The 19,675-nt window shown below is 36.6% G+C and overlaps 1 long non-coding RNA gene across 3 annotated transcripts in view; it reads right to left on the reverse strand.

Moving 5' to 3' along the window:
- PTPRG-AS1 (PTPRG antisense RNA 1) overlaps positions 1–19,631 on the reverse strand; it is a 57,129-nt gene extending 37,498 nt beyond the window's left edge. The window contains exons 1-3 of one of the 3 annotated variants that reach the window (NR_038283.1): positions 19,550–19,631; positions 18,492–18,584; positions 17,790–17,876 (exon numbers count right to left, since the gene is read on the reverse strand). This is a non-coding gene — a long non-coding RNA (PTPRG antisense RNA 1). Of the gene's footprint in view, positions 1–17,789; positions 17,877–18,491; positions 18,588–19,549 lie in introns of all 3 variants that reach the window. The other 2 variants (NR_038282.1, NR_038281.1) reach the window with 2 other exon arrangements.
- Between the last annotated feature and the right edge of the window lie 44 nt (positions 19,632–19,675).

Consider the following 19,675-nt stretch of genomic DNA (forward strand, 5'->3'; position numbering starts at 1 on the left):
TTTATCTAATTTGTGGTAATTTCAAATCATTTGACTTGTAGTTACTGGCCTATAAACTATTTTCCCTTTCCCACACCCTACACTTGCAGGGTATAAAGGCAGGCTTTGTAGCAATATCCAGTGGGCCTTGCAGAGCTTAGCAGAACATTCTAAACCAGAGACATCTTTAGCACTATGTTAGGATCCATTCCATAAGCATTTCCTGCATGTCTACTACAGACCACATGTTAGTTATACTCTATATAGAATGTAGAGTTGTTGGCAGAGGCATTTCAAGTCAGATGAGACAAAGATGGTAATTTAGTCTTAAAAAAATTAGGTCTTCAATTTATTCCAAAATATTTAGTTGGCACTATAGTAGAGATGGTTTTTAGGGAAAGAATAAAAAAGACTATTGTGCAGCAATGTGAGCAAACAAGTAAAACCTGTAATCACAGACACTCTGTATTACATAGTATGCTGACAAAATTCTGTTTATTCTATATTAGTTACTAGAACTCAGAAAACATTTTTCCATACAGTAAAAAATGTTCAAAGATAAGGACTACAACAGGGTCAAAAAGCCAAGGGTGCCAGTCAATTCTGCCACTTACAGTGTTATGAGGCAAGTTACTTCAGCTTCCTAAGTGCCATTTTCTTCATCTGTAAAATACAGAAACTAATGTTTACCTCATAGACTGCTCTGAGGAGTAAATGAGATGATGCATGCAAAGATCTTGGGATAGTAGACAGTAAGTACTCAATTAATACTAGCCATTTTAAGTATCATATAACCCTGCTTTATTTAATTGCTTGACAGACCTTTTGTCAATAACGAGTCAACCTACCTAAGCTTGCCCAATTAAATAGAAATACTGAGAAATTTCTGTCACTAATGAGGGAGCTCACAAAGTCAAATAAAGGCTGGGCGTGGTGACTCATGCCTGTAATCTCAGCACTTTGGGAGGACGAGATGGGCAGATCACTTGAGGTCAGGAGTTTGAGACCAGCGTGGCCAACATGGTGAAACTCTGTCTCTACTAAAAATGCAAAAATTAGCTGGATGTGGTGGCACACACCTATAATCCCAGCTACTCAGGAGGCTGAGGCAAGAGACACTTGAACCTGGGAGGAGGAGTTTGCAGTGAGCCAAGATCATGCCACTGCACTCCAGCCTGGGTGACAGAGTGAGACTCCGTCTCAAAAAAACAAAACAAAACAAAAACAAAGTCAAGTAAGATCCAAGAGAGGTGAATGGGGATGAAGGTAGGTAGTGAAAGCAACACATATACCCTACTGTCCAGAAACAAGAGTGGCAGAAGCAGGGAATGGATAAATACACATGATGCCCCAAAGCTTGAATATTTCTCTTCTAACCATTTAAGTCACTCTGTGCCTTCTAAGAAAGTTTTTTTTTTTTTCAAAAAAGAAAAAAGCTCCATAATTTCAGAAAAGTGGAACAGAAGGCTTAATAATATTTGTTAATGTCAAGGACCAAGCACAGAATATTGCACAATACTACGAAAATGGTGAATGTTATTTCCTTCACTAGCAGCAGCGCTCTATCTCTGCCCCAAAACTCTATAAGCCAGTACAAACAATGATAATTCCTTTCTCCTCAGCCAATTTTTATCTCCTCTATCTCTCGCTACTTTCAGTAGATCACTGTCATTATCATAACCATCATCATCCCTTAACCTAGGCTTACTTGGCCTCATTAGCGATTCATTATTGTATTATGAAGAAGTGGCCATAAATTAGAGGCACTTCATGTTTTGGTATTTATATGGTGAAAGTATCTCACTATATAAATAATATTATCTGTTCCCTGTGTCAACACTATTGACTTACTAAGTAAGTTATGATTATTTTTCTTATAACACTTGGTGTTTAAACAGTAAATTTAAAAATATATGCCAATATTTAACATTTTCATGACTCAGGAATCCTGACAATGTTTCAAAATTGACCATTTAAAAATAGCTATATGGGATGGGCTCTTACAATAGATTATTAGAAATGCAACATTTTCCATAGAAAGATGGGCAATAATCATGAGAACTTATAATTTATCATTAATATTTGTTATTAAGATACCTTTTGCTTAAGACACATTGCTTAAGAATATGTGAACTGGATTTTGTGTCAGAACATTCCAACATGGTTAGCAGTTCTTTTCTGAGATTTTCATGTAATGTTTCTCTTATCTCACTGGTTAGGAACATGCTAAGAACAACCTGGGGTCCAAAAAATGCAACTCCCTTAGGTGCTTTTGCAGAGTGAAAATTACTCAAAAAGTTTGATGGGATTTTTCACTACCTCAATATTTGCTACTTTTCAAATCTCATTATTGGATTTACATCTAAATGCTGGCATGCCCCAAGCTTCTGTTAAAGTAGCCCTTTTTTCTTCTATGTATAGCCTCTGTCCTCAGGTAATTCCATCCAAATCCATGGAATTATGTACTTTCTATATGCCAATGACTCCCAAAGTACATATGTTGTCCAAACCTATGCCCTGAACTCCAGATTTATATCCAGCTGAACATTTATCATCTCCATTTGTATATCTAATCAGCATCCCAAACTTAACATGACAAAAGCACAACTGGAATTTTCCCCCAACCTGTTCTTCCCCTAGTCTTCTAATAGTAGTAACATCTACTCAGGTAATCAAACTAAAAATCTAGCTGTCTTCCTTGACTTCTCCTTATTTCCTGCCATTTAAAAAGAAGAAACAATCCAATTTTTTAACACAGGCAAAATAGCTGAACAGATACTTCATCAAAGATACACAGCTGGCAAGTAACACATAAAAATATACTCAATATATTTAGTCATTAAGTAAATGCAAAATGAAACCACAATGTAATACACATATTAGAATCAGTGAACTTGAAGACAGGTCAATATGTATAACCCAAAATAAAATACAGAGAGGAAAAGAATGAAAACAGCATAAAGAATCCAAACACTGTGGAATAATATCAAACGATGTACATACTGTATAACTGGAGAAGAAAGAGATAAAGAGGCAGAAGAAATACTTGAGGAAATGATGACTTAGGTTTTCCTGTATTCATGACATCAAGCCACAGATCCAAGGAGATTAGAGAACACCAAGCAGGATGACTACCCCTCCCACCCCCCCCAAAAAAATCACACTTAGGCATATCATATTCAAATAGTAAAAACCAAACAAAAAAAAAATCCTGAAGGCAGCCAGAGAGAGTTTAAAAAACACTTTATCTAAAAGTAAATAAGAACTTATCTTCTTGTCATAAACCATGCAAGCCAGAAGACAACAGAGCGACATATTTGTGTTCACTTCTGTCAACTCAGAATACTATACCCGGTGAATAGGAGGTTATTCTTCTAAATGATTTATGTGAACAGGTAAAAATATTTTCTATTTAGAGCCATATTCTTACAGACTGTTTTTGTTTTCCAAATGAAAGTCAATACTTGAATAGATATGTTTTGTACTCAAGGTGATGTTCCACAAATATGGTTTAATGAAAGCCTAATTAGTTGTCATTAAGGTATTTATTTAGGGAAAAGCTTAGGCAGTCAGCACAATCCCTATGTACTAAGCTAGAATTAGCAGAAAGAATGCTTATGTTGCTTTGTTAATAAAGCTCAAATGAAGACAGAAACATACATTCAGATTCACATCCACATTATGCAAGCAGGAAAACAAATCAAAAAGACAAGACTAAAGCCACTTTAGGGAATAACCAGTGTGCTTCAAAAAACACTTTGGCAGACAGCAAAGAAATCCAAGTACATTGTTGAGTTTGCATCATGCAGGCTATGTGTAAGCCACATGAGATACAGAGCAAAACGGATAAAAGCCAATATGGTTTTTTTTTTTTTTTTTTTTTTTTTTTTTTTTTTTTGAGACGGAGTCTCGCTCTGTCGCTCAGGCCGGACTGCCGACTGCAGTGGCGCAATCTCGGCTCACTGCAAGCTCTGCTTCCCGGGTTCACGCCATTCTCCTGCCTCAGCCTCCCGAGTAGCTGGGACTACAGGCGCCTGCCACCGCGCCCGGCTAATTTTTTGTATTTTTAGTAGAGACAGGGTTTCACCTTGTTAGCCAGGATGGTCTCGATCTCCTGACCTCGTGATCCACCCGCCTTGGCCTCCCAAAAAAAGCCAATATGTTTAACGGATGTATTGGAAAAACATTTTTTAAATGCAAATATAAAGTTCTGTTAATTAATCTCCCTTAAAAACCAACTAATTTAATCTTGTCAATCCTGCTTAGAGCATTCAATAGTTCTTTAATGATATCATCATTCCTCACTTTACTACTACCATTTATCCAACTTTGCATTTCCTCCTTTCTTCAACTCACACTCATTTTCTAGCCAAGTCCAATCTATTCATTCACATACTGTTTCATCCCTACACTGAGGTGTTTACCTGTCACACCCCTCACTTGAAATGCTATCCCCTTCACTCCAATGCTCAGATGATGACCTTCTCTTTGAAACTATTTCTGACTTGATAACCTGTAACTATTTTTAGTAAGATGAGCCACTTGGTTTTATACTCCTGCTATGACAAATTATCCCAAGTCTATTCTTCATCTTGTTATGCAGGAGTTGTCTCTGAGAAACAAAAGGTGATGGGTGAATGAGGACATGAGATATGAAACCACTACTAAAGACAAAATGCTCAACACTCCCAAAGAGCCTTGGGATGGGGTGGTATTCTTTTAACATTATAAGTTGACATGGAAGGTGACCTCCCAATTATGACTATGTGAGGTGAGGGCCTTCAATAACTGAGAGCTATAAAAAGAGAATGCATAATGAGTAAATATTGTTCACTTTCCTAAATAATCTTTTAAACACTTTTATGAAAGTTTTTCTAAGAGTACTGTTCTTCAGAGATAGAAATCTTATGCTAAGAGTCTATGCCTTAGTTTCTAGGAATGGATTGGGGTCACCCCATCTTAAATGTTAAACCAGTCTTCCAACCAAGAACTACAATAGTTGGTAAGGTAACTATCACAACCATGTTAACATTTATTGAACATATTTTATATACCTATCTCTACATATTCCAAGCCCTGTAGAAGATAGGAACAATGTAAAATAATATGCAGTTTCTATACAAAGATACACACATACACACACACACACACACACACGAAGTGTATACAGACCTGGACTGGGCATGGTGGCTCATGCCTACAATCCCAGCAGTTTGGGAGGCTGAGGTGAGTGGATCACTTGAGGCCAGGAATTCGAAACCACCCCGGCCAACATGGCAAAATGCCATCTCTACTAAAAATACAAAAATTAGCTGGGTGTGGTGGCACACACCTGTAGTCCCAGCTACTTGGGAGGCTGAGGCATAAGAATTGCTTGAACCCAGGAGGTGGAGGTTGCAATGAGCAGAGATGACACCACTGCACTCCAGCCTGGGTGACAGATCGAGACTCTGTCTCACAAATAAATAAAATAAAATATATACAGACCTGAAAAGTTAAATAACACTACATGACAATTTATCATTAGGTTCCAAATAGATTAGTATTACATAAATTACAAATGGACTGGTATTATTAACATAAATAAGTGCCACAAGAGTTCAGAGGAAAAGCTTCAAGAAGGATGTGATACTTCAGCTGGACCTTAAAAAACAGATAAATCTTGAGTGAAAAAAAACAGGTAATGAAGGACATTCGGTTCATGTGAATGTTGGAAACAGACTTGCATAAACAAAACTTTTTGTCTTAATAAATAAGATGAACTTGGAAAAGTAAGATAAGGTTTACACCATGGAATACCTTAAATATCAACCTAAAGAGTTGGGACTTGACTTTGCCTGAAGGTGACAACCAAGGAAGATATATCAATAATGTTACTGTCAAAGAAAGACTATAAACAACTTCAGCAAAGTCTCACAATGTGCAAAAATCACAAGCATTCCTATACACCAATAATAGACAAGCAGAGAGCTAAATCATGAGTGAATTCCCTTTCACAGTTGTTACAAAGAAAATAAAATACCTAGGAATAAAACTTACAAGGGATGTGAAGGACCTCTTCAAGGAGAACTACAAACCACTGCTCAAGGAAATAAGAGAGGACACAAACAAATGGAAAAAAAAATTTGATGCTCATGGATAGGAAGAATCAATATCATGAAAATGGCCATACCACCCAAAGTAATTTATAGATTCAATGTTATTCCCATCAAGCTAACACTGACTTTCTTCACAGAACTAGAAGAAACTACTTTAAATTTCATATGGAACCAAAAAAGGGCCAGTATAGCCAAGACAATCCTAAGAAAGAAGAACAAAGCTGGAGGCATTGCACTACCTGACTTCAAACTATACTACAAGGCTACAGTAACGGAAACAGCATGGTACTGGTACCAAAACAGATATATAGACAAATGGAACAGAACAGAGGCCTCAGAAATAGCACCACACATCTACAACCATTTGATCTTTGACAAACCTGACAAAAACAAGCAATGGGGAAAGGATTCCCTATTTAATAAATGGTGCTGGGAAACTGGCTAGCCATATGCAGAAAACAGAAACTGGATCCCTTCCTTACACCTTATACAAAAAATAACTCAAGATGGATTTAAGACTTAAAACCTAAAACCATAAAAACCCTAGAAGAAAACCTAGGCAACACCATTCAGGACATAGGCATGGGCAAAGACTTCATGACTAAAACACCAAAAGCAATGGCAACAAAAGCCAGAATTGACAAATGGGATCTAATTAAACTAAAGAGCTTCTTAACAGCAAAAGAAACTATCATCAGAGTGAACAGGCAACCTACAGAATGGAAGAAAATTTTTGCAGTCTATCCACCTGACAAAGGTTTACTATCCAGAATCTACAATGAACTTAAAACAAATTTACAAGAAAAAAAAAACCCATCAAAAACTGGGTAAAGGATATGAACAGACACTTCTCAAAAGAAGGCATTTATGCAGCCAACAAACCTCATCATCACTGGTCATTAGAGAAATGCAAATCAAAACCACAATAAGATACCATCTCATGTCAGTTAGAATGGCGATCACTAAGAAGTCTGGAAACAACGGATGCTGGAGGATGCGGAGAAATAGGAATGCTTTTACACTGTTGGTGGGAGTGTAAATTAATTCAACCATTGTGGAAGACAGTGTGGCAATTCCTCAAGAATCTAGAACCAGAAATACCATTTGAACCAACAATCCCATTACTGGGTATATGCCCAAAGGATTATAAATCATTCTACTATAAAGGCATGCACACGTATGCTTCTTGCAGCACTATTTACAATAGCAAAGACTTGGAACCAACCCAAATGCCCATCAATGATAGACTGAATAAAGAAAATGTGGCACATATATGCCATGGAATACTATGCAGCCATAAAAAATAATGAGTTAATGTCCTTTGCAGGGACATGGATGAAACTGGAAACCATCATCCTCAGCAAACTAACACAGGAGCAGAAAACCAAACACCACATGTTCTCACTCATAAGTTGAAGGTGAACAATGAGAACACATGGACACACAGAGGGGAACATCACACACCAGGGCCTGTCGAGGGGTGGGAGGAAAAGGGAGGGAGAGCATTAGGACAAATACCTAATGCATGTGGGGCTTAAAACCTACATGATGTGTTGATAGGTGCAGCAAACAACCATGGCACATGTATACCTATGTAACAAACCTGCACGTTCAGGACATGTATCCCAGAACCTAAAGTAAAATTAAAAAAAAAAAAAAAATAAAGACTATAAAACAGACCATTTGAGTCAGTACAGTTTTTTTACATTTTCCTTGAAAACACTGCTTCTCAAAGATCAGAATTTTCTTGTACAGCTCACTCTACTTAAAAGTATCCCAAGAACATGAAATTTTAATACAAATAGTACAGCTCTCTTTTAAGCAATAGGTCAAAAATAATGAAATCTATTCCACGCATGTGGAGATAAAATAGTATTATAATTTTGTGCTTTCAAAATATACCTCAAAATCCAAGATTTGTTAATTCTACTCTTCTGAGAAACTTTGCTCTGTGAGTTTAAAACGTTTTAAAATTAAGTTTAAATTATTTACTTGTCAATGACTTTTGAGAATTCATTTGTGTAAGTTTCAGGATGAAAAACGAATACCCAGTAATTCTGAGTCTAAAAGACATGGGAAAATTAGTTAACAACGCTGAATGAAAAATATAAATAAAGCTAAGAACACTATTGCAAGATTTACTGTAAAAAAAAAAAACAACCCTTTATTTGCATGTCAAATCAATGTATAAATACCTTTATTCACCTGCTAAGTAAACTTTAGAGCTTATCAGTCTTTTCAGCTCATATTATTACAAAGATGAGAGAAAATATTATCTTTGAAAAGATAAGGGCTGGAAATTCATAGAATAAATCAGGACTAAAATACACCACAGTCTTGCTATCAAGGAAAACTCAGTCCATAAGATAGGCACATATACTAAGTTAAACAATTTATAAGGTTTTTACACCACCTTAGTAAGAAGACTATGTGTGATACAGTCTAAGAAAATAGATCTAGTTTACTGTTAAAGCCACTCTAAAATGAAAACCTTACACTTCATAGTGTCTTCCAATTCCAAAAGCACTTTCATATCCATTATCTCACTTGGCCCTCACAAGTATCCTGTAACGTAGAGAAAGAAGGTAATTTTTGCCTTTCTTACCAATGATGAAACAGTTCATCAGTAGCAAATCTAGAGCTGGAATCTACATGTTCTCATTCAATAAGATGGCTATTCAACACACTGCCTCTCTAGCAAATGTAAGTCTAAGGGCTCAGCACATTTCAATTGTAAAGGTCAAACTCCCTAGTTCTATTCACAGCATAAACTGGAATATGCCTGGGATATGAAGTTTACTGATTTTTTTTATTTCTTTTCCTGTACATACTTTGTTTAAGGGTGTGCTACCCTTACCCGATGAAGGTAGAAATTTGATAGGGATATATTTACATGCAGCAAAGTTGGCAGAGACGTAAATTTATATAAACCAATTTTTTTCACAAACCTTCCCATAAAGTCACATAAGTACTCTCAACAGACTATATTTTAAAATATCAATAAGAACTGGTGATCTTAAAATGAATTACAAAGCATTCACAGCTGTCAGAAATTCATCTGAACCATAAAATTATATATTTTTGAGAGAGAAATAATATTTTGGGCACATGAAATAAGTGAATGTTCCATCATTATACCCCTAAAACATCTTTTGTAGAGAATTTTCTCACACACATAAAGAGTTCACATGCAAAACAAACTGTAACAAAAACTATTCAAAAAAATCTTTCAGCAATGCTAAAATACTTTAACTATATAACATATTTTCTGTGCTGTGTCTACTGTGAATTACTTCTCTACCAAGAACTTACTCATACTAAGGATATTTAAAGCAAAGCAAATACCATACAAATAATTATTTAATCTTATTTCTCAGAATCCTTAGTTATCTGATAGCAATTCAAAGTACAGTCATGTCTTACATTAATGATGGGCATATGTTCTGAGAAATTCATTGTTAGGCAATTTCACTGTTATTTGAACATCACAGAGTTACTTACACAAACCTAGAGGGCATAGCCTACTATATACCTAGGCAATATGGTACAGCCTATTGCCTCTAGGCTATGAACCTGTACAAAATGTTACCATACTGAATACTGTAGACAACTGTAGCACAATAGTAAGTGTTTGTGTATCTAAACATATCTAAACATTAAAAAGGTACCGTAAAAATATGGCATTATAATCTTATGGGACCACCTTCTTACAAGTAATCTCACTGACAGAAACTTTGTTTTGCAGTGCATGACTGTATCATTTAAAACACATCCCTAGGATTTACTGTGACCTTCAAATGTCAACACTACGTTGATTCAGAAAGGATAACTTTCTAATACATTTCATATTATTATAGTAGTCCACATGTAAAAACCACACTTTATGAATTTAGTAAATCATTTATGTGAATGTAGTTCTAGAAAGCATGTTTAAAATACCAGTTTTTAATTCTATCATATAGAAAGTCAAATTTCTAAAACAAAAACTGAAAAAAAGCCATTGTGAGATGGGTTACATGATGGGTAAATATGTCAAATGTACAGCATTGAGGTACCAGCATCATACTTACAGTATCTTCATAGTTTTGCTTCTGCAGCCCTTTCCAATTTGAGGTCTGTCTTCTACCATTCAGTGTCACCATGGTTACCTAGACTTTATTTATTCATTTATTTTACACTTCTCTTCAGCTGAATAGGGCTAGGCTCTCTTCTAGGTATTGAGGATATAGCAATTAGCAAGATAGACAAAGTTCCTGTCTTCATGAAATGTATGTATATGCCAGTGAGAGGAAAGACAAACAAGTAGGCAAATATATATCAGACAGAGGTTAAGTATTACTTTAAATAAATAAAGAAAGCAAGGTAAGAAGACAGAAAATGATGGTGAAAGGAATTGTTTTTGGCAGGGTGGACAGGAAAGCCTCACTCGGGAAGTGACTAGCAAAGAACACATAAAGCTCTGTGGAAGATATTCCAGGCAAAGGGAACATCAGGTGAAAAAGTCCTTGAAATGGGACTAAGCTTGGTGTACATCAGCAAGATAAGAGTGAAGAAAGGGGAACCTGGTAAGAAATGAGTTTAGAGAAGTAAGCAGGGATCTGATCAAGCAGGGCCTTAGAGGCCATGCCAAGGAGTGTGTATTTTATAAGGGCAATGGAAAGCCACTATAGGGTTTAAGGAGGGGAGTTACAAATTCTGATTTATGTTTTTAAAAAATCACTAAGACCATAGAGAAGACTGTAGAAGGAAAAATGTAAGATAAAGAAAACTAATGATGAAGGTGTCACATTTCTTTAGTACTTGCATGTTTGGACACAAGGTAGGTAGCACACTGTACCTATAACAACACACTCCCATAACTTAATTTAAGGTTATTCTTTGATCATGAAATTAGGAAGAAAAATGTAAAGGATAGGATCAGATATCCAAAGATATTACTCAAGACACTCATGGTGGATACGAAATAGAAGTCTTTTAGAAAAACCCCAAAATCTGATTTTAAAATAACTAAAGTATAACCTCACATATCACCAGATTGTATCCAATAACTAAAAGATTTTAAGCAATCAATTTTACAATATATGTTATTTTTAAATGAGCTAAAAAATGAGAGTGCTATACATTAAAGATTACAAACTCTCAGTCTGCTGGTATGTTTTAAGTTATTTGCTTTGTAGTTTTTTACTTGAATGACTTGCTAACACTGAGAAGTAAGATGACTTCATATGAAAATCCAGGTTTCTGTCTTTACCTCAAAAATCAGCAGCTCCAGGCTGGGCGCGGTGGCTCACGCCTGGAATCCCCCGCACTTTGGGAGGCCGAGGCGGGAGGATCACAAGGTTAGGAGATCGAGACCATCCTGGCTAACACGGTAAAACCCCGTCTCTACTAAAAATACAAAAAATTAGCCTGGCGTGGTGGCGGGCGCCTGTAGTCCCAGCTACTCGGGAGACTGAGACAGGAGAAGGGCGTGAACCCAGGAGGCGGGGCTTGCAGTGGGCCGAGATCGTGCCACTACACCCCAGCCTGGGTGACAGTGCAAGACTGTCTCAAAAAAAAAAAAAAAAAAAAAATCAGCATCTCCAGCACCTTTTATTCTTGCAAGGCAACAATCTTGGAAGTGAGCAACTCTATTTATTCTTATAGAATTCTACTAGAAGCTTCTCTAAAAATAAATGGATAAATTCTTTTACGTTACTTTTTGAGTAACATGGGACTTTTTATGTTGCTTTAAAAAGAAAAGAAAGTGTTTATCCTTTTGCCAACTTAAATATATTCCACTAGCATCCATGAAGAACCCATTATGAAACAATAACTGCTATGAAGAGTTTGGAGTCCAGGTAAATAATTCTAAAGGCACAGGAACTCTTGGAGATTCTACTGAACATTTAGGCAAATGCTGACTCCAAGATCTGAGGTGTCCAATAAGGTCCTAGTTTCCAGTAGGGTGACCTGCACCTCCACACCTTTATGCATGACAGTAACATTTCTTACAACTTCACAGGGCTTACAAAAGTGGAGAGCAAGTCCCTTCACCCAGGGCATCAGCTGCCATGTATGAGCTAATCCACTATTCAGACAGATACTCAGAGCATAAATTGCTATATATAGGAAATGAGAATCAAATCAACTAGTCCTCTCAAAAGGATTAAGTTATTTCATATAAAATCTACAATAAAGCATTTTTAAAACATATCACATCCTTTCCTTTTTTAAGCTATCTGACAAGTCAGATGAGACTCCTTAGGTCTACTTTAAGTTATTTTTGTACTATTTGCTAGATACCACATAAATGTATGGTGTTCATAAACAAGAAACAGTTGCACTCTACAAGTCTATAGAAATGACAGTACACAACGAGCTGAGACCACGAGATGAGAACAAAGTATAATCAAACAAGCTTTTCTTTTCCCTCATAAATACCATCAGAAACATAATTTTAGCACCCCAGAAAGCAACAAGCTAAAATTGTGAATTAAACAGATGTAAAAATATATTTTTAATGCAAAGCAAAGGAAAGAAAAATGCGATCTCAAATGTACATGCATGGATATCTATGGCAGATTTTGAAGTCTACTTTTATGGAACACACTTCATGAAAATAAGCTTTGCTTCTACTTAAACATTTCAAAACATTAAATGTGTAATAGTTTTCCCAATGGCATATGGTTTGAATTGATAGTGGTAAATAATTGTACATAAAATGAAACTACACTGACCTAAATGTTAGTAAAAGTGACAAAATAAAATACTAGCAATATAAACCGTTGCATGGGTGTATGCCATATTACCAGGTGAAAAAAAAATTATTGCAATTACAGGCTTTCATTATTTATTTCACCTTTATGTAATTACATCTTATAAATGTTTATTTAGTAATATCAATCTGAGACATCATTTTGAGAATATAATTAACTGGATAGTAAAACAGAACGTGTGTGTGTTTTACTATTTTTCTCTTTATTTCAAAAAAGTTGGTCTTTGTTAGTTGTGTTTAACTGCCATCTAGAGTTAAAATGAATCCATTTCTTTTCCCCTCTACTTCTTTTCAAAATTTTTGGCATACAGGCAAACATGTTTCACTTCTTCACATCAAACAAATATTCATCAGACAAAAAAACTGTAAAAGGATAACTTCATGCAATTTTTCAAATTACTGTTAGCAATTACACCTACTGCAAATACTTTAAGTTGACTAAAAATTAAGACTTACATTTACACTAGTTAAAACGCTATTTTTGACGATATAAACAAGCCAATGAACAACCTAATACACATCTGGACTTTGGGAAATACATTAAAAACTTCAGGTTATAGTCTATTTCATGACCTACAATTTGTTTTTTTTTTTTTTTGAGTCCAAGAAAAGCAGACCCAAATAAAAAGATATTCAGTAGTTACTTCATTTTTTTCACATATGAAAAATATGATTATGAAAAATTAGCTAAATCCCAGGCCGGGTGCGGTGGCTCACGCCTGAAATCCCAGCACTTTGGGAGGCTGAGGCGGGCAGATCACCTGAGGTTGGGAGTTCAAGACCAGCCTGACCAACATGGAGAAACCCCGTCTCTATTAAAAATACAAAATTAGCCAGGTATGGTGGCACATGCCTGTAATCCCAGCTACTCCAGAGGCTGAGGCAGGACAATCGCTTGAACCTGGGAGGCAGAGGCTGAGGTGAGCTAAGATCGCACCATTGCACTCCAGCCTGGGCAACAAGAGCAAAACTTTTGTCTCAAACAAACAAACAAAAAAAAAATTAAAAAAAAAAAGAAAAATTAACTAAATCCCAACTGCATATTCAACTAACTAAACTTTTTACTATTCTTATGTTAAAAGTGGCATTCAAATCCCAATTTCAGCAGGGAGTTTGTAAGAATAAGCCATCAGTACAATTACTCAGCTTTCAATTTAAGAAAGGCATTATTAAAAATCTATTTTAAAAAGGGATACTGAAGAGAAAAATGAAATTAGATTTCAAAATAAGACTTGATGCCCTAGCACAGAAGAAATGTATTCACATGAAGTGTTCCAAAAATTAGGTAAAATATTACTGTTCTCATATAAATAGAGTATAGGTTTTTTTAAATTAACTTTCCCAAATGCATTAAACCACAACAGCTTTTTCTAACAATATTTTTATACATCATTAGATTCTGAAACAAAGAAGTTGCAATCCAGTAAAACTGCAACTCTTGTTCAAAGGAAATTATATGCAAGTTTTCAAGTGGATGCACACAGCAAACAATGATGATGAAAAACAGGCTAGTGCAAAGAGCCTTGAATGTTTTCAATAAACACAACTGTAGCATTACAAGAAGATGGCAATAGCAGAATACTTATCAAGTACAGTACTCAAGTACGCATTTAAGAAGGTTCTTAATTGCTTGCTCAATTGTGGACTAATAAAGTTATTACAGGATTATAAGAATCAAAGAGGAACAAACAGAGAGAAAAAAAAATAAGCAAGCCTGAAGGCCGTGAACGAGAAAACGCCTACCTCAAGAAAAGCCTGGATTAACAGTCATAGAGACTAGTGAATGTACTGAGAGCCACTGGAAAATCATGGAAACAGGACTGAAAAAAAAAATAAAACCTTCTATAAATTTTATACGTCTGGAAAAGTGTCCATTTAAGACAATGGGTTTGTCTGAGCTCTAAATTACTGAAATTTGTGAAGTAAAAAGTACAGATGGTCCCTGACTTACAACAGTTCGAGTTATAATTTCTTGACTTTACAATGGGCTTATAGGGTATTAAATGCATTTTTGACTTACAATATTTTTGACTTACAGTAAGTTTATCAGGATGTAACCTCATCACACATTAAGGAGCATGTGCATACACATTTACTATGTATACTGTTGGGGCTTAGAAAACAACACTGCAAAATGAATGGCGTTTTGGCATGCTGAACACTTTGAACCATAATAGGAAGGCCTTAGAAATTACCTCAGAATCAAGGACTTTCTTCTTTATTTTTTTTTTCTTTTGAGACAGGAGCTTGCTTTGTCACCCAGGCTGGTCTCGAACTCCAGGCTTCAAGCGATCCTCCCACCTCAGCCTCCCAAAGTGCTGGGATTATAGCCGTGAGCCACAGCACACCTATAATCCCAGAATCAAGGACTTTCTAATCTCTCCTGTCCTCCCTTCTCCCCACCCCCAGAACAGGGTGAAATTTAACTCTTAATATTCCTTTATCCGCCTTAAGACCTGGCCCACCAAAGAGAACACAACTGCCTTCCATCCCCTCCTTGAAATTTTATTACCAGGAAAGAAGACTGAGGCATGTAACCACACCTGAAGGGATTTTGTTCTGCCTGTTAGGCTCAAATTACAAAGAAAAACATTTACAAGCTAGTATTTCTACCTCCCAGGTCCATTCATCTTCCCTAAAGTCATGTATTACCTCTCTAAAAATTGTCTACAGCACCCCCTTCACCATTTCCCTCTCCCCGCTGGAGTATTTAAGCCTCAACCATCCGGCCCCTCTTTGAGCCTCATATTTTATATGGCTCCTGTGTTTATGCACATTAAGTATATTTGTATGCTGTATTAGTCCATTCTCACACTGCTAATGAAGACATACCCAAGACTGGGTAATTTATAAAGATAAGAGGTTTAATTGACTCACAGTTCTGCATGGCTGGGGAGGCTCAGGAAACTTACAATCGTGGCAGAAGGTACCTCTTCACGGGGCAGCAGAAAAGCGAATGAGTGCACAAGCCAAGGGGGAAACCCCTTATAAAACCATCAGATCTCTTGAGAACTCACTATACGAGGACAGTATGTGGGAAACCACCACCATGATTCAATTCTCTCTACTTGGTCCCACCCTTGACACAGGGGGATTATTACAATGCAAGGTGAGATGTGGGTGGGGACACCAAGCCAAACCATATCATATTCCTTTTTCTCTTATTAATTTGTTTATTGTCAGTCATTTCCACAAAGGTTCAAAGAGAGTAGAAGGGACACTTTCCCTCTCCTGCTATAATACAACAAACAAATGACTTCCTAAGAATCAACATGCGTGCTTTCAATTTAAAATTTCTAATGTTTTCTCAAGTGCATTTTACAACTACTGCGGTTTTTGTTTTTCCAAGGAAGGAAGAGGCATATGCAAATTCTCACTGGCAATCTCTAGGATTGAGCATAGTTTTATCAGCAAGATCTCCGCTGAGAATGTCTAGAACATAAACATCAACCGTCAGAATGATTTCTCTATTGCAGCATTTTATCTGATTGAACCTAAATTGATACCTGGTTCACTAACAAAAGCTCTAAAGAAGTATCTGCTTATAAATTCTCTCTACTCAATATCCATCAGGGCCAATTTAAAGCATTTCAGATATATTTTGAGTATAGAATATTTTACCATAATAAAATGAACAGACTATAATTATGGAACAAGGTAAATTTCTGATTATTTTATTTCAAAGTAAAGTACGCAGGCAATTGGACCCACTACCAAATTTCACCCAGGATTTCCTGAAATAGGAAGAAAAACTATGTCAGTCATGAGCTCTTTATTTTTTTAGTACTTGTCTATCCAGAGAAAACTCAAAGTGGGTCTAAAAAGATGGCCTTTATATAAACTATAACAGAATTTACTGTTAATAACTTGGAGTATTTGAAATAGTCAAGGATTCTGCAATTTTTTTATTTCTTACTCTTTAACGCTTGTCCTTTCTTTTCCATCCTCAAGCCTTCCTTTTCTGTCTTCATTTCTATTTTCTACTCACCAGTCTTACCTCCTCCAATAATTTCATCTCTTTATTACTATCAAACCTCCATTTTCAAATTATATGGCATCAGAAATGAAATCTTCAAAATTAAGGAAAATGAGGAGAAAACATTCTTCCCAATGCTTCCTTTCCATTAGGCCTCACACCAGATGTACTCACATGCACACATTTCTATGCAAGCTGCTTCCCTCATTTAGAACACTCCACACCACACTCTCCTGCCACCTGATACACCCAATCACAAAATGACTTCCAAATCAGCCCATTTTTCAAGGTCCACCTGAGTCTTTCAAAATGCTGTCTATACTATTCCAGCTCATAGTGCTCTCTCCTGTCTTCCCTATCATCCTCATAATCGGCATACTTTTTAATTCTATAACCTCAAGATAACATACAGAATTATTTAGAATACTAACATCAAACACTTTGAAGTTCATTTACTAGCAGTGTGATCTTAAGTAAATAATTTCTCTAAGTCTCAATTTTCTCAGCTATAAAAATGAGGATACTAAGACTTCGGCACACTTGCTCATAGGGTTTTTATGAGGATAAGGTGATTCATGGAAAGTGTCTGGTACAGAATAAACATTCAATAAAAACCATTTTTTATGTTGTCAGCCATCATCCTCCAGCTTTTTGTGTATACTTTAAAAGCCCAGCCAGATTCTAGGCTCTTAAGGGCAGATTACATCTTACAGATGTTTAATACATACATGTTTATAGAATGTATGACTAAATGATACAATGTTTTCTAAATAATGAAGCTGGGGGCAATTATAGAACATTATATGAGGCTGAGGAGATAATTATCGCATGCTGGTGCATAGAACTAGTCCAGGGGTTAGGAAACATTAATTTCACACCACCTTTGCAGATTATCTCATTATGGGTCAGTTGTTACTTAGTAGGTTGCAATAATTTTCATGGCTGTGAATGCCTCACTCCAGAAAGTATCCAAACTTACCTGATAAATACAGAAGCTGTATATTAATAGATACAATGTTGCCATAGATTCTTCCTCAACAGCCTGGTGTCTCACAGAAAGGATCAGCTGTGGGCAATATAATGAGAAGGGCAGCTATCACAGACCTTTAAGTAGAAAGTAACCACCTTTATTGGATGCTATAAAATAAATTATCAAAGTCTATCTAGATAACCCCCAAGTGTCTGTGATATATTCCTGATTGCTGTTCTTAAAAACTGCAAGAAAACTCCCAAGGTATTCCTTAGTTCACAGCTAAGGCGGATGGTGACCTACAAAAGTTGGGCTCAAAGTTGAAAGAGCCGGATTTGTCCCAACTGTGTTACTATGCAAACTTACACAAAGCAGGGAGGTAAGCAGTTTGTCAAGCAACATACAAATGCTGTAATGAGCCTACAGTTATTATTTTCATGCAACCCATTACCAACTTAAGAAAAATCCTTATTTGTAAATGTACATAAAAAATAAACAAGAATTCCTTATAACCATGCAAAAGCTCTATTTCATTCCTAGAACAGAGGACCACTCAAGGGTCTACTTTTCATCTTTCCTAAGTGGTAAGGGTAAGGAACAGCAAAATCAAAGTTCCTATCAAGTGAAGTTAGAGTACTCTGAAATTATGATGAATGTTAACGGGAGGAATTATTTCATTCGTTCATTCAAATATATTTACTGAGCACTTACATGTCAGGCAGTTCCGGTTGCTGAGGATACATCAGCAAAGCAGAGACAAAAATACCTGTTCTTAGGATGTTCAAATTCTAGTGGTGGGTGCACCTGCTAAACAAATAAATGAGTGATTACACAATATATGCAATGTTACTGTGTTACGGAAAAAAATAAAGCAGGTGGAGGATAGGGAGCCAGGAGGTGGAGATATTCTTATATTGGAGATTGAAGGAATGGTCCTGTGAGGTGACAGATCGAAAGATACAAGGAATCAAATCTATAAATGTCAGAAGGGGCTTTCCAAGCAAAGGAAACATTAAGTGCAGAAGTCCTGACGCAAGAGCTACGTTTTATGTAAATATTCTACGAGGAGAAAATTTAAAAAACACCTTGGATTTTGGAGTCCTAGCTCTTTGTCTTTTACCAGCAGAGTATAATTTATAAAGAAAACAACTTTACCTCTCTTGAACCTGTTTCTTCCTCTGTATATTAGAGGACTGACACTACCATATACTTATTTCAAGGAACGAAAATTAAGAAACGCACTTTACAGAAACGAGATATTACAAAGTGCTAAATTAACAACCAAGCTTGTCTCCTTGGCTGTCAAATGAAGCTAATGTGCCCATTTCACAGGGCTTTGCGGGGACTCAATGAGATAACCAACGTAAATATGTCGACTGACACTCAGAAACCCCGCAAGGCATGATCAAGCAATACTACTGTCAACACAGGGTCTACCAACTATGAGCAGGCAGGGGCTCTTGCTGCTCTGCTCAGTATAAGACGCCCAGGACGAAGCACCTCGAAACTGCTCCACAGGCATTCGTTGAATAAACCGACTGTAAACTCGACTCACTTTAGACTACTGTGCCGAATTTTTCGCATTTCTACATTCTGCTGGGACATTCCAGCTTCTAAGAACCCAGCTTCACTCTCTGAAACTCTTTCAACATATGCAGGTCTCACTTTAAAAGGTCTTGAAATGGAGTTCCTACCAGACGGCCTTTCCCTAGGGTTCATAAAGACCCTTTCAAGCCACCCTCCCGCGCGCCGCGTTACCACACGCCCACCTCCTGGTTGCCGCGACTACACCTCACGAACTTTTCGCGCCCCAAGGCGGCCCTTTATAAAGATGCGGTGACGTCACCGCGCGCCGCGCGTGCGCAAATATGGTAACGTGACCACGCCCTGGCCTG

This window comes from Homo sapiens, chromosome 3, assembly GCF_000001405.40.
Source record: "Homo sapiens chromosome 3, GRCh38.p14 Primary Assembly".
Lineage (NCBI taxonomy): Eukaryota > Metazoa > Chordata > Mammalia > Primates > Hominidae > Homo > Homo sapiens.